Source organism: Homo sapiens, chromosome 12 (assembly GCF_000001405.40).
Source record: "Homo sapiens chromosome 12, GRCh38.p14 Primary Assembly".
NCBI classification, from domain to species: domain Eukaryota; kingdom Metazoa; phylum Chordata; class Mammalia; order Primates; family Hominidae; genus Homo; species Homo sapiens.
The window spans coordinates 106,776,418-106,798,641 of NC_000012.12; the positions used below are offsets into that span (position 1 = coordinate 106,776,418).

The 22,224-nt window shown below is 39.8% G+C and overlaps 1 protein-coding gene across 24 annotated transcripts in view; it reads left to right on the plus strand.

Moving 5' to 3' along the window:
- RIC8B (RIC8 guanine nucleotide exchange factor B) overlaps positions 1 to 22,224 on the plus strand; it is a 114,635-nt gene that overhangs the window by 1,736 nt on the left and 90,675 nt on the right. For 18 of the 24 annotated variants that reach the window (NR_147135.2, NR_147133.2, NR_147137.2 and 15 more), the window contains one exon: positions 7,580 to 7,627. The exons of 3 other annotated variants lie outside the window; for them this stretch is intronic. Coding sequence is in view for 6 of the 21 variants with exons in the window: in NM_001351361.2 (NP_001338290.1) it covers positions 7,580 to 7,627 (48 nt within the window). In the remaining 15 variants the exon portion in view is untranslated. Of the gene's footprint in view, positions 1 to 7,579; positions 7,628 to 21,559; positions 21,653 to 22,224 lie in introns of all 24 variants that reach the window. 3 more of the 24 variants (NM_001351366.2, NM_001351367.2, NM_001351364.2) reach the window with 2 other exon arrangements.

Sequence of the window (22,224 nt, forward strand, 5' to 3'; positions counted from 1 at the left end):
ACTTGGCCATTTGTTGAATCAACTAATGTTTATTTAGCACTTACTATATGCCAGATACCCAGCAATAAATAGGAATTTGTTTCTGTAGGGGAGGAAGGAGGAAAAACCTTCAACTGGATATAATCACGTTCTTTAATATTTCTCCTTCCCTTTATGGCTAAACTAATTAGACTCCAGATTTGCTTCCTCCAATTTATCTCTTCTCATTGGTCTCCCTCCAGATTGGTATCTACTTACCACTCCTGGCCAGGTGCTGTCAGAGCTTAAATCCTGAACATCTCCAGCTCCCCTTTTGTATTGGGAATGTTTTTAAGGTTGTTTTGCATGGTGTGTCTTGCTTAAGGTGGTATCTGAAGTGTTTCAAAAGATTCCCAAACCCTTGTAATTTTGGGATCAAGCCTGAGAGTGCTCTGACTAGATGTGAACTGGGTCAGTTAGCTCTTTCAGAAGAAAGCGCTCCCTTCTTTTTTGGAGACAGGGTCTGTATCTGTCACCCAGGCTGGAGTGCACTGGTGCAATCACGGCTCACTGCAGCCTCCATCTCCTCCCCCCCACCGACCCTCCCAAGTAGCTGAGACTACAGGTGCGTGCAACAGCACTGGGCTAACTTTTTAAATTCATTTTTTGTAGAGATGGGGTCTCACTGTGTTGCCCAGGCTGCTCTCAAACTGCTGGGCTCAAGCAGTCCTCTCACCTTGGCCTCCCAAAGTACTGCGATTATAGGTGTAAGGTACTGTGCCTGGCGAGAAAGCTCTCATATTTAATACTGACTGTAGTAGGGCCAGTATAGTAGGGCTGATTATAATACAAAGAAAATGGCTGAACATCATATTGCAGTGAGGTTTTGCCCCTCAAAGGGAGAGATTTTGAGAGCAGATGAATAGGAAGTGAATGTATGATCATAGTGGTTCAGGCAGTAAGAATGGGGAGGTGGAATTAAATTGCCCAGCTCTATGGTATATGGAATTTAGAACCCTGAAAAAAAATAGTTGGGTACCATATACTTCAGTTTCCTTATCTGGAAAAATGGATTTGAGAAATGTTTGGATTATGAGGTGATTATAGGGCATTGAGGAGTCCAACAGAGAGAAATGAATGCTGTAGAGAGAGAGAGACCGGTTCGTTATTTGGGAGAGTAGTGGAGAGGTTCTTTATGCTACCTTATACCTCTAATAAAGCTAGTCCTTGAAAGGAGGCAGTCAAGTGTAGTAGAAAGGTGGTGGGATTTGACATCAGATAAACTTGGTTCAAATCCCAACTCTGCCATTTATTAGCTTTATGACTATGGATAAATTATATTAAGCCTGTGAGTCTCAGTTGCCTTACCTGTAAAATAGGGATAATATCACCATTCTCTTAAATTATTGTGAGGATTACATTAAATGAAATATAATGCCAACACTGGGCACAATGCACCTAGGAAGCACTCAGTAAGTTACAGTTATAATGACCAGGGTACCTAAGAGGTGTGGCCGGAGCACAGGTTCTGTAGCCAGCCTGGCTATGATCCTCAACTTAATGGCTTGTGTGACCCTAAACGAGTTACTTAACTTTGCTGTGGCTTAGTTTCCTCATCTGCCAAATGGAGATAATAATAGTAACTATATCATAGATTTGTTGTCAGGATTAAATGAGTTACATGTGTAAAGCACACAGAACAGTGCCTGCCACTGAGGAGGCACCCCATAACTGTTAGCTTTGAACAAAAAAATTAAACGTGGCATGAGTTGGGATAGCACGATATTAAAATTTGGGAATATGCTCCATTCTTCCCCTTCTTTTTCTAATGGGTAGCAAAATTGTACCTTGTACCGCTTTTAGAGATACCTGTCGGGCTCCGGGAAACATCTAATTTCTACTGTGTTATATAGATTCTCATTTCCAAGCCTTCTTGCTTCATTCACTGACCTTTGTTATCTTGGAGAGAGGAAATATGTATCTATCCCAGAAAGAATGAAACTTGTCTGTTTGTCAAGGGCATGACACAGCATAGGTCTCAGCATAGGCAAGTTTTTTTGTTTGTTTGTTTGTTTAATGGGAGGAGCAGTTGTTTTTCTCTCCTCTCAATGCACCTGTTAACATTTATTGAGTGCCTGCTATGTACTATGTATTATCCCAAGCATTTTCACATTTCGTATGTCATCTTATATTAATTCCTCTTATATTAATCCTCTTATATTAAAACTTATGAGGGAGATGGAAGTATTCTATATACAGGCTCAAGGTCACATAGCTAAGAAATGGCAGACCTGGTCTTCAGATTCCATATCCAGGGATCTTTTTGCAGGGCTATGTTGCCTTTACCCTGTCTCTTCTGTGTTTTTGAGCACAGAAAAAGTTTCTTTTTCAGGAGTGGTATACTACGGTTATTCCTCAATATCCAAAGGGGATTGCTTCCAGGATCTCCTGTGGATACCAGAATCTGTGGATACCAAAATCTTCTAATGCTTTAGTCCCTGATAGAAAACACCATAGTATTTGCATATAATCTGGGCACACCCTCCATTTTTTTGAGATGGAGTTTTGCTCTTGTTGCCCCAGGCTGGAGTGCAATGGCGCGATCTCGGCTTATCATAACCTCTGCCTCCTGGGTTCGAATGATTCTCCTGCTTCAGCCTCCTGAGAAGCTGGGATTACAGGCATGCATCACCATGCGCGGCTAATTTTGTATCTTTAGTAGAGACGGGGTTTCACCATGTTGGTCAGGCTGGTCTCGAATTTCCGACCTCAGGTGATCTGCCCGCCTCGGCCTCCCAAAGTGCTGGGATTATAGGCGTGAGCCACTGAGCCTGGCTGGGCATATCCTCCTATATACATTTTTTTTTTTTTTTTGAGACAGAGTCTCATTCTGCCGCCCAGGCTGGAGTGCAGTGGCTTGATGTCGCCTAACTGCAGCCTCCGCCTCCCAGGTTCAAGCGATTCTCCTGCCTCAGCTTCCTGAGTAGCTGGGACTACAGATGTGTGCCACCATGCCTGGCTAATTTTTGTATTTTTAGTGGAGACAGGATTTCACCATGTTGGCCGGGCTGGTCATGAACTCCTGACCTCAAGTGATCCACTCACCTGGGCCTCCCAAAGTGCTCTGATTACAGGCATGAGCCACTATGCCTGGCCTCTCCTATATACTTTAATCTCTAGATTACTTATAATACGTAATACAATGTGAATGGTATACAAATAGTTGTACTGTATTATTTAGGGAATAATGCCAAGAAGAAAAAAAAAAGCCTGCACTTGTTCAACACAGACACACACAAAAAAAAATTTTTTTTTTTTTTTTTCAGATATTTTCAAGCCATTGTTGGTTGAATCCACAGATACAGAATCCTTTGGCTACTGTTGGGTCCTAATCACCTCAACTTTAGTTATAGAATGAACTGTTAATTTGGGGAATTATGTATCATTCCAGTCTAGACTGTTCAAGCTCTTGCTCCCCCACGGGGGCCTGTTCTTTTTTTTTTTTTTTTTTTTTGTGTGTGTGTGTGTGTGTAGAGTTGGGGGTCTCACCATGTTGCCTAGGCTGGTCTTGAACTTCTGGGCCTCAGCCTCCCAAAGTGCTGAGATTACAGGCATGAGGCACAGTGCCCAGCCCTCAGGACTTCTCTAATAACACATTTAGTAGAGAGATTAGTTGCCATCATTATCATGATTATCAACAACAAACTGTGACTAAGGGCCCTGAGGTATGGAGTAGTATCATGATTCTTTACATCGCAGGCTATTTATGTTAGAGGAGCCTCAAAGATAATAGGGCCCAACCCCCTCGTTTAATAGATGACTCATCAACTATGATGATAACCAGAGACGTGGCTTGGTGGCCCTGCAGGCCACCTGGACATATGACTACCCCATACATAGCAAATTCCAGCAGCATTCCAGTTTTGAAGTATGGCAAGTTTTTGGCCAAATGAAAGGTATTTAAGATACAGACAGATAGGTAGGTCTCTAGTAGTAGTCCTCTTAGGAGAAGAAAACAAGACTGCTGGCAGTGAGGTCTTCATTCATGTGCTAGAAGAACCTGATTCATAGAAACCTGATATTGGGACAGTTCTATAAATATAGCCTCTACATTTGAATAGAGTATGTAAATATCCAGGACCATGTAAGAGGACTTTTTGTTTTCTACTTTGGAAGTTGGGCTCTGACTCTTTGATTTCACTCTGTGGGTTCTTGCAGAGAAGCATGTTTAGTGGGCTGTTCCTTTGTTATACTTTGTTCTTATGTCCAGATTATGTTATATAATTTGTTTCTAATTTTTAGTTGTAGAAGCAATCTGTGTTCATGAAACAGCACAACATACACCACGCAATTAGGTTTATTCCCTTGTAGTAGTGCTGTTTGAGTGTATCTTTAGAAATCTATGAAATTATTCCTAGCTCTCTAATAGGTCAATATTTGGCCAGATGCCACACCATAGGTTATTCAACAATAACAGTAGTGGCCATTGAACACTACTGTGTGCAAGGTGCCATGCTTATAAAAAATAAGGAAAATTTGATAGGTAGTAAAGTTGAATAACTTGACCAAGTTTACACTTTTAGTAAACAGTAAGACTGGACTCAAACTCAAGGTTGTCTGACTCCTGATCCTGAGCTTTTTAGAGCTTATTCATGGAGTATGAAACCTGTAGTGAGAGTCCTCATAATAGTCTGGTGTGTCACTGAGCTGTTAGCTTGCTTGATCTCTAAATTGAACAATGGTTTAACTCTTTTTTTTTAAATGGGGTTTTATCGTGTTGCCCTGGCTGGTCTCAAACTCCTGGTCTCAAGCCATCTGTCCACCTCAGCCCCCCAAAGTGTTAGGATTACAGGTGTGAGCCACCATGCCCGGCCAATTTAACTCTTTATATTTGATTTTTTGCTCCTGTTTCTCTGGAAATTAAACATGTAAAGAAGGTGAGATGGCTGACTGTTGGCTAACAGTTCTAGAAATACATGTACAGCTGGAAATGCTTGTTCTCTCTTTCCCCATTTCAGCCTTAGAAAGGGGAGAGAATAAAGATAGGGGTACTGAATAAGTTAAGTATGATCTAAGTTGGATAAAAGAACCCAGGTTTATAGAAGCCAACATCTATTGGATCCAAACACTCTTAGAGGTTTGAGCTTCTGAATAGATTGGCGCATTCCAGATTCAATTTGTAGTGCCTCACAGACCATTATATTTTCTAATTAAGAGCAACAGAATAATTAGACCTTGGTACTATTCTGAATTCCCACCTTAAAAGATTAATTCTACAGAGGAACTGTTTAAAAGACACTTATAACTTACTGAGTGTCTTTCCAAAAGACAATTTATTTTTCTTTCCCCTTACCATTAATGCCAAAAAAAAGTTTAGAAGAAACGTTATATTAACAAGTAGGTACATTTATTCCAGATAATTTATGGAATTAGCATTTTACATATAATGGCAAAAAAATAGGCTTTCTTGGTTTCTTAGTGCGATTATTTTCATTTGTATTGAACCTTTAGGGGCTTTAGTTTACAACTTTAACCTGATATCTGGCACTTTTAAGTCTAATGTTAATTTTCACTAAACCTCAGGTCTATACATTTCTAAGTATAGCCCTCAGATTTACAATCTTTCTTTCCTCTCCTCCTTCTTTCTTTTTCTTGTTCTTTATTATCTATTTAAAAAAAATTTTTATTATGAAAACAATATACCAACAATGAGTCTTCTTTTTAAAAAATTGCTACATAATATTTTGTCAGGTGAATATATTATGTATAATAGAATACTGTCACATGCATAACATTCCGTCAGTCTCCTGTTGGTTATTCCAGTTCTCGCTTTTTTTCTTCCACTATGTTGGATGACACTGCAGTGATACACATATAATTATTCTCTCCTTCTAGATCAGTAGGATAAATTCCTAGGAGTAGGAGTTCTGGGTCAAAGAATATGAATATTTTTATGTCTTCTAATATGTGTTGTTGCCAAATCACTTTCTCTTTTAAGGTTTATGTCAGTTTATACTGCCACCAGGAGTATCATGCCTGGATTATTGATGTCCATTCCTCACAGGGCATTATGTCCTTAGTCTTGCTTTCCTTTAATCTGGCCTGTGAGCTACCGCCCAAAATGTTCTACCAGAATGCTGGTCTCACACCTCCGTCGTAGTCTTCCCCTGGTTGCCTGTCACCTATTTGCCAATTCAGGTGTAAATTTTAAAATCCATGCCCTTACCACCTGAGTTCATTCCTTTTAATTGTTTTGCATCTATATTCGAGGCAGCCTCCCTCCCTCAAATGGCCACTCTCTCCTACCTCTGAGTCTTCCCTCTGATCATTTCTTACATTCAGAACTTCTTTTCTGCCAACATTTCTCTATCTTCTTTAATTTAAAAAATTGCTGCTTCTACAAAGATGTCAACACAGAACCACCTGTGATGATGATATCTTTAGTACTCAGTGTACTTCACTCCTGGTGGGTTGCCAGTAAATATTTGTCAGTGTGGCTAATGAGAGAAAGAAAAAAGAAAAAGTGGAGAGATTTTTGGTGGAGATTTTTGTTTTTTAATAGAAAGGCTTAGAATTCTTAAGAGTACTTGGTTCTCCTGAATAAAACTTCAGAGGAGAATGAGGAATTCTGTGCTCTATTTTTGGGGTACCATTGTTCTTTCTGTGATCATGGGCAAGCCAACTTATTCTGTCTTCTATTCCCCTCTACTTCAGCTACAGAGTAGAAAATATAGTATTGCCAATCATTGCAGAAGAGTCATGACACTCTCTGCCTTTCCAGTTATTTTTTCCTCATAATCATTGGCATCATCATCATTATATCCCTAATATTTACTGAGTATTGCTACTTGCCAGCACTGAGATTGTGCTTTATATACATGCCTTAGCTTTTTTTTAACTGTCACAGTCTCTCTATGAACTAGGTACACCCTGTTTTCAGATGAGAAACTCAGTTCCAGAGAGTTTACTTGCTTAAGGTCACAGCTAGTAGGTGGTGGAGCCACCATGATTTAAACTCTTATTCTTATTGAATTACTTTTCTGAAATATCAAACCATCAAGTCTTCCCTATCCACAGTTCTCTGATGATTTCTTATTGCATATGAAAAAGAAAGTATAAACTCAGCAGCATCGGAAGGCCCTTCCAAATCACTGTCCAGTCTACTTTTCCATTCTCTTCTTCCTCCATGCCCCACCCCAAACGTATGTCCTGTGTTCCAGTCTCACAAAGTTGCTTATTTCACAAATATATCATATAGTTTCACACATTCGAGCCTTTGTTTTTGTTCCTGGAATGCATTCCATTTGCCTCTGGCAAACTCCTGTTTATCCCTCACGATCCAACACAAATGCTCTGTATTCTGTGAAAGCCATTCCGGATTTTCCTGGGCAGTTAGTGGCTTGGTTTGCTGTGCTCCTTTGTATATATATCTGCTGTAGTCTTTTCACACTGCTTTATAACTATTTGTTTACATGCCTGTCTCCCTTACTTTAATAAGAATATTGAGATACGGGAAGGCAACATTTTTTACAGGGACATTATTTTAGATGCTATTAAACGTAGCCAAAATTAAAAAATACATGTATTTAAAATGACATTGTTTCCCTTTTTTCCCCCTCAGCATAGGGCTACTTTCAAATTTGAATCAACAGATGAAGATAAAAGAAAGGTAAGCCTTGGTGTTGCTCTGTGAATGTTTATGTGTGTGTGTATTGCATTCATGGACTTTCTAAGCAGTGGTCATGTTTTCATCTGATGGTTATTGATTGGTTTCTTGTTTCCCTTCATTTTGTTTTTTAGGAACCCTGAGAAGAAAGGTTAGGTTAGGTTTAGTTTGGGTTACACGTAACTCTTTCCTCCTTTGTCCTCGCAGGACTATTAACACTTGTATAAATCAGGGGAGTGGGAGGGATTCAGAGGAGTCTCTTCCCAGATCTACTCACTCCCAAAGACTGACTGTTTAGTGGCAAGACTCCAGGTTGCCCAAAATCCATTGCTAATATTACAAAACTTAGCTTGAGGCAAGGTCTCGCTCTATCACCCAGGTTGGAGTGCAGTGGCTCACTGTAACCCCAGACTCCTGGGCTCAGGCAGTCCTCCTGCCTCAGCCTCCCAGTAGCTAGAGCTACAGGCACACACCAGCATGCCCATTTTAAAATTTTTTTGTAGAGACAGGGTCTCATCATGTTGCCCATGCTGGTCTATTGAGCTTCTGGCCTTAAGTGATCCCTCCTGCCTTAACCTCCCAAAGTGCTGGGATTACAGGTGTGAGCTACCATGCCTGGCCCTGCCTTTGTGTCTTGCTGTACTCCGTACATCTATCCCTGGCTATACAAATGCCAGAACCAAACAAGAGAGTATGACTGAATCAGTGTAAATCTATCACTGCTGCTAGAAAAATAGCTTAAATCCAGTATTTTGCTAGTAGTGGGTTGACAGTGCCTTGAAATCATTCCTCCATTCACCTGTATCCCCATACCTAATATCAGTGTCTTGCTCATTTTACGTTTTCAGATTTCTTCCATCCATTTTCTCCTTAACCTCTGCTCTAATTCAGGCCTACATCTGATTACTGCATCAGTTTCCTGACTGTTCTTTCATTTTCCAGTTACATGCTTTTCTAGTAGATTGGCATCCATAAATCCAAAATAACAATCTGACCATGTCATCCTTAGCCTTAAAACCCTTCATCTATCCCTTCATTGACTTTCTTTACCTACAGAATAAACTTCAAGCTTCTTAACATGACATGCTGGGTGCTCAGTGATCTGTCATATGCCTACTTTCGCAGCTTATTTCTTTTCTCTCCCTTGTATTTTGTGTTTTAGAAATAGAAAATGTTTCCAGTTATGCACACATCCACATCCCTTCTGTTTCTTGCTTACTACTTTTGCAATATATTGTTTTCTACCTAGAGTGCTCTCTCCCTCTTGTACACCTCTTCTTTTTCTCACCTGGTGAATCCCTACTCACCTCAGGGGCACCTCCTTCAGCAAGCCTCCTCTGACATTCCAGTTAAGGTGAAGTACCTCTTCAATATTCTCATAATACTCTATATAAATCTCTAAATTAATATTTATGCCTTGTTTCTTAATTATATATCTGTTGATGTTAGACACTGGTATCTTTATACACTTGACATTTGGAGTGCCCAGCACATAATAGGCACTCAAAAAGTATTTATTGGATGAGTGACCATGGAATATAAATTTTGTAGATTAAAGGTTTAACTCTGACTTTCTTTTGGATTTGAACAATGTAACCAAGACTAGAATACCTTTTTAGAACAGGGATTCTCAACTAGGGATATGCTCTTTGGAGAGCTTTTTCAAAATAGCCCTGCTCAGGCCCAACCTCTTATCTACCGAGTGAGAATTTGGGAGGTGAGCTCCAGACATGTGTATTCTATGTCTCTCTCTCTCTCTCTCTCTCTCTCTCTGTGTGTGTGTGTGTGTGTGTGTGTGTGTGTGTGTATAAAGTATATAAATTATTTAGAAACAGAATCTTGTTTCGTTGCCCATGCTGGAGTGCAGTGGCATGATTATAGTCCCCTGTAACACTCCTGGGCTTAAGTGATCCTCCCGCCCTAGGCTCCTTAGTAGCTAGGAATACAGGTATGTGCCACCATGCCCAGCCAATTTTTAAATTTTTTGTAGAGACGGGCTCTCACTCTGTTGCTCAGGCTGGCCTCAAGGGATCTTCCCACTTTGACCTCCTACAGCCCTAGGATCACAGGTGTGAGCCACCACATTTGGCCCAAGGTGTATTTTTTTTTTTTTTTTTTTTTTTTTTGAGACGGAGTCTTGCTGTTTCGCCCAGGCTGGAGTGCAGTGGCGCCATCTCAGCTCACTGCAAGCTCCGCCTCCCAGGTTCATGCCATTCTCCTGCCTCAGCCTCCCAAGTAGCTGGGACTACAGGCGCCCGCAACCACGCCCAGCTAATTTTTAGTATTTTTAGTAGAGATGGGGTTTCACCGTGTTAGCCAGGATGGTCTCAATCTCCTGAGCTCGTGATCTGCCCATCTCGGCCTCCCAAAGTGTTGGGATTACAGGCGTGAGCCACCGCACCTGGCCCCAATGTGTATTTTTATAGATGGTCTTCAGGAAATAAATACTCATATATCTGATGGGAGTGCAAAATGGCACAATCCCTATGGGGAAGAAACTGGCAGTGTCTACCAAAATTACAGATACGTTTTACTCTTTCACCAAGAAGTGTCTCTTTTAGAAATCTATTCTGCAGATAGATTGAACCCCAAGTAAGCAAAGTTATTCACTGAAACATTGTACATAATAGCAAAAGATTGGAAACAAGTGTCCAGCATTTAAGGAGTGTTTGAAGAAACTATGGCTCATTTACATTATGGAATATTATGATGTAGTAGAAAGAGATTTGCTGTATGTGCTAATGAGAGAGTGAAAAAAAAAAAGCAAGGTGTTAAAAAGAACATGTTGTTTGACAAACTCATGATAAGTATTCAGGCTAGGAAGCCAGCTGCTATTTATTTAATTTCATTGGAAGATCCATACTATATCCATAGATTCATGGTGCCTTAGAAATCTGACATTAGAGTCTTTGGTAGTGCTTTTACTGGTAAATACAAGCATATTAAGACAGAGTCTCCTACCCCATATAAATTTCAGGTGAAAGGGAGAAATTTCTTTCACAGTTATTAATAAAATGTGTTTATTTCCAATAGGGTAGTAGAAAAAAACTAACATTTTCAAAGTACTGTCTTTTTCTGAGTTTTAGATTTCTGAAGAGAGTAACTACTCTGTAGTGCTTATTACCAGTTACAGTGTGTAGGTTTCTGCTTCCTGGGAGGTCTGTTATAAACAAATGTCATTAGGGACCTAGCCAGGTAATCTTCATTAATGGGAAAACATCAACAAACAAATTCATTTCTGTGAAGTCTCCAGGGGTTAAAACCATTTGTGACTCTTTCATGCCTAAGGCTCTTTTTAGACTTAGACATCAGAACTATTGGACAGCTCAGAAGGATCTATACCTTAATAAGCTTTTCAAGTTCTTAATGGAGAGACATATAGAATATAGGCATTTCTGTACCTTAAGCCTACTCAGAAAATAAAAGGAAGTCACATTACTGCCCAATTCGTTTGCTCCCTATATTCGTTTTCACACTGCTGATAAAGACATACCTGAGACTGGGAAGAAAAAGAGGTTTAATTGGACTTAGAATTGCACGTGGCTGGGGAGGCCTCAGAATCATGGTGGGAGGTGAAAGGCCCTGCTTGCATGGTGGTGGCAAGAGAGAAAAATGAGGAAGATGCAAAAGTGGAAACCCCCGATAAGCCCATCAGATCCTGTGAGACTTATTCACTACCACGAGAACAGTATGGGGGAAACTGCCCCATGATTCAAATTATCTCCCACCATGCTCCTCCCACAGTGCGTGGGAATTACGGGAGTACAATTCAAGATGAGGTTTGGGTGAGGACACAGAGCCAAACCATATCATTCTGCCTCTGGCCCCTCCAAATCTCATGTTCTCACATTTCAAAACCAATTATGCCTTTCCAACAGTCCCCCAAAGTCTTAACTCATTTCAGCGTTAACCCAAAAGTCCACAGTCCAAAGTCTCATCTGAGACAAGGCAAGTCCCTTCCGCCTATGAGCCTGTAAAATCAAAAGCAAGCTAGTTACTTCCTAGATACAGTGGGGGTACAGGCATTGGGTAAATACAGCCATTCCAAATGGGAGAAATTGACCAAAACAAAGGGGTTACAGGGCCCATGCAAGTCTGAAATCCAGCAGGGCAGTAAAATTTTAAAGCTCCAAAATGATCTCCTTTGACTTCATGTCTCACATCTAGGTCACGGTGATTCAAGAGGTAGGTTCCCATAGTCTTGGGCAGCTCCACGCCTGTGGCTTTGCAGGGTATAGCTCCACACCTGGCTGTTTTCACAGGCTGGTGTTCAGTGTCTGCGGCTCTTCCAGGTGCAGGGTGCAAGCTGTCAGTGATCTACCATTCTGGGGTTTGGAGGATGGTGGCCCTCTTCTCACAGCTCTACTAGGCGGTGCCCCAGTAGGGACTCCGTGTGGGGGCTCTGAAGCCACATTTCCCTTCTGCACTGCCCTAGCAGAGGTTCTCCATGAGGGCCCCGCCCCTGCAGCAAACTTTTGCCTGGGCATCCAGGCCTTTCTGTACATCTTCTGAAATATAGGTGGAGGTTCCCAAACCTCAATTCTTGACTTCTGTGCACCCACAGGCTCAACACCACATGGAAGCTGCCAAGGTCTAGGGCTTGTACCCCCTGAAACCATGGGCTGAGCTGTCCCTTGGGCCCTTTTAGCAATGGCTGGAGCATCTGGGACTCAGGGCACCAAGTCCCTAGGCTGCACACAGCCAGGGACACTGGGCCCGGCCCATTAAACCATTTTTCCCTCCTAGGCTTCCGGGTCTGTAATGGGAGGGGCTGCATTAAGACCTATGACATGCCCTGGAGACATTTTCCCCATTTTCTTGGGGATTAACATTTGGCTCCTCATTAGTTTCACAATTTCTGCAACCAGCTTGAATTTCTCCTCAGAAAATGGGTTTTTCTTTTCTACTGCATTGTCAAGCTGCAAAGTTTCTGAATTTTTATGCTGTGTTTCCCTTTTAAAGTGGAATGCTTTTAACAGCACCCAAGTCACCTCTTGAATGTGTTGCTGCTTAGAAATTTCTCCTGCCAGATATCCTAAATCATCTCTCTCAAGTTCAAAGTTCCACAGATCTCTAGGGCAGGGGCAAAATGCCACCAGTCCCTTTGCTAAAACATGACAAGAGTCACCTTTGCTCCACTTGCAACAAGTTTCCTCATCTCCATCTGAGACCACCTCATCCTGGACCTTATTGTTCTTATCACTATCAGCATTTTTGTCAAAGCCATTCAACAAGTCTCTAGGAGGTTCCAAACTTTCCCACATTGTCCTGTCTTCTGAGCCCTCCAAACTGTTCCAACCTCTGCCTGATACCTAGTTCCAAAGTTGCTTCCATATTTTCGGGTATCTTTTCAGCAACACCCCACTCTACTGGTACCAACTTAACATACTAGTCCATTTTCACACGGCTAATAAAGACATACCCGAGACTGGGAAGAAAAAGCAGTTTAATTGGACTTAAAATTCCACATGGCTGGGGAGGCCTCAAAATTATGGTGGGAGGCGAAAGGTACTTCTTACATGGTGGTGGCAAGAGAGAATGAGATAAACCCATCAGCTTTCATGAGACTAATTCATTACCACGAGAACAGTATGGGGGAAACCGCCCCCATGATTCAAATTATCTCTCAGCAGGTGCCTCCCACAACATACGGGAATTATGGGAGCACAATTCAAGATGAGATTTGGGTGGGGACACAGCCAAACCATATCACTCCCCTCGTTCTCTTTCCTAAATGTGTTTTTGGAGCTCTATGCCAGCAACTACTTAGTAACAGCGGGACATTTTTTGGTAAACTACATTGCTATCTCTTTGAAAAACACTAACCCCTCTTATATGAAAAATCTTTGTGACAACTTAGAAGTAAGTGTAAGGGAACAGTGCCCTTCAAAAAAAAAAAAACTTGATTATACTGTGCTTTTTAGGAGATAATTATAAATTAATGATCTTTAGACCTAATTCCTGACACTTATATAGTGTTTTGCAGTTTTACAAAGATTTGCTTCTTACCGGTAGTGCTGTAAGTATGGTAAGAATATCACCATTCCTATCTTATGAATAAGGAAACTGAGGCTCATATGAATGACAGCTTGCTAACACTCACACCACTAGTTAGTGGTTCAGCCTCACATAGACAGCAGATTATCTATTATGTGCAGCTCCTTCACTGCTCACTGCTCAATAGCTCCCTCTTATTACCATTGAGGTATATTTCAGAAGGCTTGAAATTATCATCCAGTACCTTGTTTTCTCTCATTTTATACCTTGAGAAACCATTTAGGTAACTAGATTTAAGTTGGAAGATAGCAAAGGAAATTAGCAACTAGAAGTGCTTACATTTTTCTAGAGAAGTAAAGTCAGATACAACGGCTAATGTTTGTGCATATAATGCAAATAGTTCCAGGTGCATGTGGATCATTGTATACTTAGATAAAAGCACCTGTGTTTATTGAAGCATTTGCTTTATATTCTGTACCTAAATTGGTAGGCTGTGATTATCTACCAGCACATAAACAAATATGTCATGCAAATATGTAGGATTGGTGGGGAGGATATAATGAATAATCTGAAAATTCACATGTTGAGGAAATGAAAGCTCTTAAACAAAAAGCTTTAAAACAAAACTGACCTCAAAACCAATAAAGAGTACTAATTGCAATAAGTTTTGGAAGAGACATATCATAAAATGATTAAAAGATTTCCAGCTCTTTCACATATAAGAATACAGCCTTATCAAATGTGGAAAATTTCAGTTGTCTGAGATAAATCTTTGTGTATATAGTAATTTTCCTCAAAAGAGTAAAGTTAAAAGTAGCCAAATATCAAGCATATTTTATTACCTTCAAATTCACACAGCCCATATTTCTGTGAAGCCGTAAGGTAATTGTCAAGTTGAGATTGCAAGCTCTTTGAGGACAAGAACTCTAGCTTACTTTATATTTTCAGCAAAATAGGCACCTATAATAAATGCTTGTTAACTGAATGAAAAGAACTTGGTGAGTGAGTGGAGGCCAGAATTCCTGTGACTTGTACATATTGTTTGGTTTTGTGTTCTATATTATTTTAGCTATAAAGTAGAATCCCAAGCACAGCTCATGTTGTTCACTGAAAAAGCAGGATACAGTGCAAAAGTATGCATACAGTATGATCACAGCCACGTAAAACTGATAAAAACCATACAAAGAAAAAATGGTGACAAGGAGATAAATGGCAGCCACCTGTATAGTTATTACTGTGGATATTTTTCTTTTCTGTTTTTTAAACTGTTCTTTTATATTACAATAGATTATAATGATATAAGCATAGGTTCATTATATAATTATAACGTTACAATATACTGTTACAATAGTGTGATTGGAGTTATAAGCGAAGGACTAATATTTCTTTTTTCAAATCATGTATTTTCTCTAAAATTGGCCTTCTTGATTACGTATTCCTTTTGGGAGAGCATAAAAAACTCTTACTCAGTTTGGGGCAGTATTATCGGCAGAGCCAGTTTATGGAGTGAAATATATATAAACACAAAAGTTCATTCTGCCATTTCAAATACTTTTTTCTTTTTTTCCCCCAGACACAAATGTATTTAGCATATTAGAGATCTCTGTAATCCACAAATGTTTTCTCAGTAAATCCTGTATTCCTGGCCTTGTGTTAGGCCTTGGCTCCTAAGTTGGCTTTTTGTCCATGGTGTTTGGTTTGGCACTTTCTCAATTATAGATGCATGCTGAGGCTTGCCATTGTGGACTATAGAAAATGAATGGGTAAATTTCTATATTAGATTCCCCCAAGGAATATGTGCCAAAATAGAATCATTAATCCTAGACTGTGAATCCATGCTTTGGAATAGCTTGAGGAATGGATGCTTGTTCTAAAAGCCCTTTGTCCTTATTTTGGTCATTTGGAATTGTCACACTCCAGTTTTTACTAAAATAAAATAAGCTTTGTATGCTTTGCAAATTTGACTCAAAATTTATTTGGTGTCTTTGCTTGAGGGAATGTTTTGTTACATAGTGCAAGTACAGTTCTCACTTAGAAACCAGTAATTTTCAACATCTTCATCTCTTTAAAATAATTGCACACAATACCAAAAGTACATCTAAACCTTTTACTTTTTAAAGTTCCTGTCCAGCTGGAATCTGACACAAGACTTGACTTAGGTCTGGGTTGTATCATAGGGCAGGATGAATGCTTCACGGTAGGTCAAAAAAACAATTTAAACTTCATTCCAAATTCCACTTTTAGTTTTAGATGTTTTCCATGGCACTGGAGGAGTAAATCTAGAAAGCAAGGACAGGACAGCCCTGACTTAGTAAGCCACAGGTATGGCAGTCTATACATGATCGTTGGATCACTTTTTAAGATTTCTGTCTGGGATAATAAGAATACTATCTCTGATTTGTACTTTAGAGTTTCAGGTGCATTTTCTCATATAGAGATTTCATCAAGAAGTTCCGCTTCCAGCCATGACAGTGTGAAGATCTCTACAGATCTGCTCCCTAATGGAACTGGTAAAAATTATTTTTAAGAACAACCATTTAAAGTCTGGAAATAGTCCCAAAGGCATACAGTCAATGAAGAAACACCTATTCAAAAAAATCTAAAAGTAAGAAAAGTGGGCCGGATGCTGTGTCTCACTCTTGTAATCCCAGCTACTTGGGTGGCTTGAGGAGAGAGGATTGCTTGAGTCTAGGAATCTGACACTGTGGTGAGCTATGATCACGCCACTGCACTCCAGCATGGGTGACAGAGTGAGACCCTATCTCTAAGGAAAAAAAGCAAGGAAAGTGAAAGTCTGTGTTATTTGAACCAAGACCTGTTCTCCCTCTCTTCTCTTGGCTAAGTGAGATAGAACTCTTCTCCAAACTGGTGCAGGGAAGAATATACGGTTCCCTTTCCCTCTAGTCCCAGTTGGAGTGCTGTCTTCACAGGAGTGATGGAATGTCAGCATTTCTCATCCTGCCCCCAGCTACCTGTTGCTGAAACTAAATTCTGGATAAGTGTAGCTGAGAGGTGGGTCTTACCTCCTTCCATTCTGCCCTTCCTCATGGGATAGCAGCTGTACCTTGGATGTGACACTGCTGAGAATACCGGGGCCACAGTCATCCTGGTGGCGGAACATGGTTCCACCCCAGGAAAAGCAAACCAAGGAGATCAAGGGTTGCTGTACCTTTACTTCAGTTGAGCTGTCAGCCCTAAAGTGAGGGTGTCACACAGAAGCATACCATTGTCTCTGCCCCCAGCATCAGCACCAGGGCTCAGAAATTTTGTCCAGGGGAAGAAGCAAGCCTTATAAAAGAGAGTGCTGAATGTCTCCTCAAAGGAACTGACTTCATTTGCACAGAATATGGAGAAGTTCATGCCTAAGGGTGCAGGTTGTGATGAAAGGCACTTGGGGTGACATTAACACAGTCATTGGAGATATAGGTTAACCCAAAGGCCAGCTACTTTGCTAGGAGGAATGGGATAACTGAGCTAGATTGCTAGAGTGAAAGGAGGAAAGTGGTAGCTGGGAGGAACTATCCCTTCAAAAGATTGGATCTGTTTGTGGAGCAATTTTTGCCCCAGGACATTTTTGAAGACAGTAGATCAGTCAACCAGCAATTAGTGTCACATAAGAGCTGTGTGTGATCAGGAAAAGAGAAAGTCAGAGGGGTCTGCCAAAGCCACTGTCATCCCAGTGCAACTGTGGACATACCCAATGGTGTGCCCTATAAGGTGCAACATTAGGGCTTCACACTTTGAGGAAGCAGAGAGAGAATAGACTGCTAAGATAATTTAGCCAGTCACTAAACAAATAAACAAATACAATAGCAACTCCTGGAGAAGGTGGGTGGAAGGGAGTGCAAATACCTAGAGTTGTTACAAGATGTCCAGTTTCCATGGGCGGGGTGGGGGTGGGGGAGGGAAGCAGGCACCAAAAACTGCCTGTATGACCAGATGTTGGATTTAACAAAGACTTCAGAGTAGCCATTATAAATATATTCAGAGAACTAAAGGAAACCATGATTAAAGAAGTAACAGATGTAATGAAGTCACATAAAATGGAGAAATCAATACAGAGATAGAAGTTATTTTTAAAAAGAGCCCAATAGACATTCTGGAGTTGAATAAAGTACAATAACTGAAATAAAAATTCACTGAAGGGGCTCAACAGTAGATTTGAACTGGCAGAAGAAAGAATAAGCAAACCTGAAGACACAGCAATAGAGAATATTCAAGGCAAAGAACAGAAGAAAGAATAAAGAAAAACGAAGAGAGCCTTAGAGAATTGTGGAATAACATTTACATACCAGCCTACACATAATGGGAATACCAGAAGGAGAGGAGAGAGAAAGAAAGGAGAAGAAAAATATATTTGAAGAAATAATGGTTTAAACTTCCCAAATTTATTGGAAACCTACATATCCAGGAAGTTCAGTGAACCCAAAGAGATGCATAAATACATCATAGTAAAAATGCTAAAAGCCAAAGACGAGGAGAAAATCTTGAAAACAGCAAGAGAAAAATGACTCATCATTACAAGGGAAGGTCAATAAGATTCACAGCTGACTTATCAGAAATGTAAGTCAGTGGGATAACATATTGGAAGTGCTTAAAGAAGAAACCTCATCTAAGAATCCTGTATCTAGTAAAGCTATTTTTTAACACTGCAAGGGAGATAAAGACATTTTCAGATAAACAAAAAACTGAAAGAATTTGTTGCTAGCTGACTCACCTTACAAGACTTAATAAAACAAGTTCTTTAGACTGAAAGCAAGTAACCCTAAACAGTACTTTGAATCCACGTGAAGATATAAAGAGTACCTGTAAAGCTAATTATGTAATTGTAGAAGTCAGTATGAATACATAATTCTCCCATTTTCTGTTAATTGATTTTAAGAGCATTTGTATAAAACGATATGTATATAATGTATTGTTCAGTCAGTAATATAGAGAAATGTAATACACTTGCCAAAAACAGCACAATGGTGAATGGGAGCAAAGCTGTATTGAACTAAGGAAGCAAATCCAGATGGTAACTAGGATCCACAAGAACAAATCAAGAAAACCAGAAATGATAAATAAGGCTAATATATCAAAAGCTATAAATGTATACTTGTTCTCCCAGCTTCTTTAAAAGACAAAATTATAAAGTAATAATTATAATAATGTATTATTGGATTTGTAATTTTTATAGATGTATATAACAATAATACTATAGAAAAAGGGGGAAGGGAATAGTGAAGTAGCTACGTTGTCTGGGGTAAATACCCGTGGTTCGTCTTCTCACGCCAAGACAATTTAGGACATGGACACACACCAGGAGTTTAGGAGCGGAGGTCTAATAGGCAAAAGAAAGAAAAGAAAACAGCTCTCTCTCTAGTGAGAGAGAGGGGACTTCTGAGAGGAAAAAGGAGCCAGCAGCGGATGTGCCAGATTTTATAGTCAGATTTGAGGAGGTGATGTCTGATTTACATAGGGCTCACAGACTGGTTCGATCAGGTATGATGTTTACATAGCGTGGGGAGGGCTGGCCGCCCCAACCTCATCTTATTATGCAAATGAACTTTCCCATTGGCCAGCACTGTCTTGTCTGCTCCTTAATGTACATGTGGCTGACAAAGAGAAGGGAAGATGGAGCCACCATCTTGAATATGATTGGCACAACTGCTGGCATGTATGTCTGCAGCTCGATTTTACAGGCTGCTCTTTGTTAGAAAGGAAAATAATTTGGGGCTGCTTTTCATTAAAAGGAAAACCTTACCGAGGACTTCCGTACCCTCACTATCTGCCTAAGTAATTTCTTCTTAACTCCTGTATCAATAATGTTATACAGGAATGTTTCTGTATCTCACTGGAATTAGTATAAATCTGGAGCTGTTTCTAATAAGGTATATATGCTAAGCCCTAGAATAATGACTAAGGACATAACTCATACTTACACTTTGAAAACTGTAAAACATTGTTAAAGGAAATTAGAGAAGCTTAAAATAAATGAAAAAACATCCCATGGTCATGGATTAGAAGACTTACTATTGCTAAAATGTCAGTACTCCTCATATTGATCTACAGATTCAACGCAATACCTTTTAGAAACCCAGGTGGCTTCCTTGTAGAAATTGACAAGCTAGTTCTAAAATTCATATGAATTTTTGACACAGAGTAGTCAAAACAACCTTGAAAGGAAGAACAAACTCAGAGGATTCACAATTCCTTATTTTAAAATTTACTACAGGGCCAAGAGCGGTGGCTCACACCTATAATCCCAGCACGTTAGGAGGCCGAGGTGGGAGGGTCTGTTGAGCTCAGGAGTTCGAGACCAGCCTGGGCAATATAGTGAGACCCCCACCCCCCTCCATCTCTAAAAAGAAAAAAGAAATTGCTACAAAGCAGTAATAACCAAGGCAGCTGGTATTGGTGTGAGGATAAATGTAGATATTAACAAATGGTGCTGTGACACTTAGGTAGCCACATGTAAAAGAATGCAGCTGGATTCTTACCTCTTGCTGTATACAAAAATTCAACTGAATCAAAGACCCAAATGTAAGCATTAAAGTCATAAAATTCTTAGGAGAAAACATAAAGGTAAATCTTCATGTCCCTGGATTTGCCAGTGGATTCTTAGAGATAACACCAAAAGCACAAGTAATAAAAGAAAAAAATAACATGAATTGGATTTCATCAAAGTTAAAATACTTTTGTGCTTTGAAGGATACTATCATGAAAGTAAAAAGACAACCCACAGAATGGGAGAAAATATTTGCAGATCCTATGTCTGATAAAAGACGTGTATCTAGACTATGTAACTCTTACAACTCAAAGGCAACTCAATCTTAAAATGGGCAAATGATCTGACTAGACACTTTTCCAAAGAAGATATACAAATGGTCAGTAAAGATGCTTGATATCATTAGTCATCAGAGAAATGCAAATCAAAACCACCATAAAATATCAATTCATACCCACTAGGATGGCTAAAACAAAAAAGATAACAAGTGTTGACAAGAACTGGAAGAAATCAAAATCCCCATACACTGCTGGTGGGAATGTAGTATGGTGCAGCACTTTGGAAAACAGTCTGGTGGATCCTCAAAAGGTTGAATAATTACCATATGACCCAGCAGTTGTACTCCTGGGTGTCTACCCAAGAGAAGTGGAAATACATATCCACATGAAAACTTGTACACAAATATTCATGGCATTATTCATAATTGCCAAAAGATGTAAACATGCCCATCACCTGGTGAGTGGATAAATAAAATGTGTTATATCTATACAATGAAATATTTGACCATACAAAGGAATAAACTAACTGATGCTGCTACAACATGGATGAACCTTGAAAACATTATGTTACACGAAAGATACCAGACACTTAAAAGGCCACAGATTGTATGATTTTATTAACTTAAAATTTTAGAATAGGCAGATCTATGGTGACAAAGTAGATTCATAGTTGCCAGGGGCTGGAGGAAGAGGGGAATCAGGAGTTACTACTAATAGATATCTTGAGCTTCTTCTGGGGATGATGAGAATGTTCTAAAATTAGATAATAAGGGTGGTTGCACAAGTGTGAATATAGTAAAAACCAATGAATTGCATGCTTTAACAAGTTGAATCTTACAATATGTGAATTATATCTCAAGCTATTTTAAAATAAATACTAGTAGATAATGTATCCTCTACACCCATCATCGTTCCAAGTACTGTTGGGTATTAACATTTAATCCTCACAACAAAGCTATAAAGTAGGTAGAATTTTGCTTATTTTACAGATGAGGAAACAAAGGCACGCAGAGAAATTACTCGCTGAAAATAAAGAAGTTGGAGGCCATGATTCGAGCTTAGGCAGCCTGGCTCCAAGACCCGTGTGCTACACCGTACTGCCGCTCATTAATAATTGGATTGACCTGTTGTGTAGTTTATGAATCGATTCTATTTATTTCCTGATTTTAGGCACCCGAAATGTGAGATTTGATGGAGAACATAAAGCTTTGACATTAAACTAGTTATAGCGTTGACAGAAAACAGAAGATCATGCTTGCCAGTGTAAGTGACTGAATAAAATAACTAGTGAAGAAGATAGCTGTGTAGTACTGGCCTTATAACACTTAGGCATATCGTAGATCTTTTTGATGCCTCGGATTCATTTTTTGTTGTCAAAAATGTAAGGTTTCCTTTTCTCGGTAGCTGGCTTTTTTCTTCCTTTCAAATTTTGATCAGATGCTGAGCAAAGTGCAGAAATTTGTACATCTTTGATGTATGGAAAACTCATAGGGACCTGAAAGTTCTTGGCTGACCAGATGTTTCCACGTTCTCAACTCCTCTATTTGTAGATAAAAAAACTAGAGGTTGACTTACCCAAGATCAGAGTTAATGAGCAGAAAAGCTGGAACTCAAACCAATTCCTCTGTCTTCTTTTCTGACTTCAGTGATGATCTTTGCAGGGCCTATCCTCAGATAGCTCACAGTGTAATAAGGGACCCACAGTGTCTTCCAGTACAGTATGATTCCTTCTAAGGCATCCTACACTGAGGGTCATCACCCTGACTGAATACTTTCGGTAATGGAAAGCTTACAGCAGCCACTGTACTTTTTTTTTTTTAGATAGCTGTAATTGT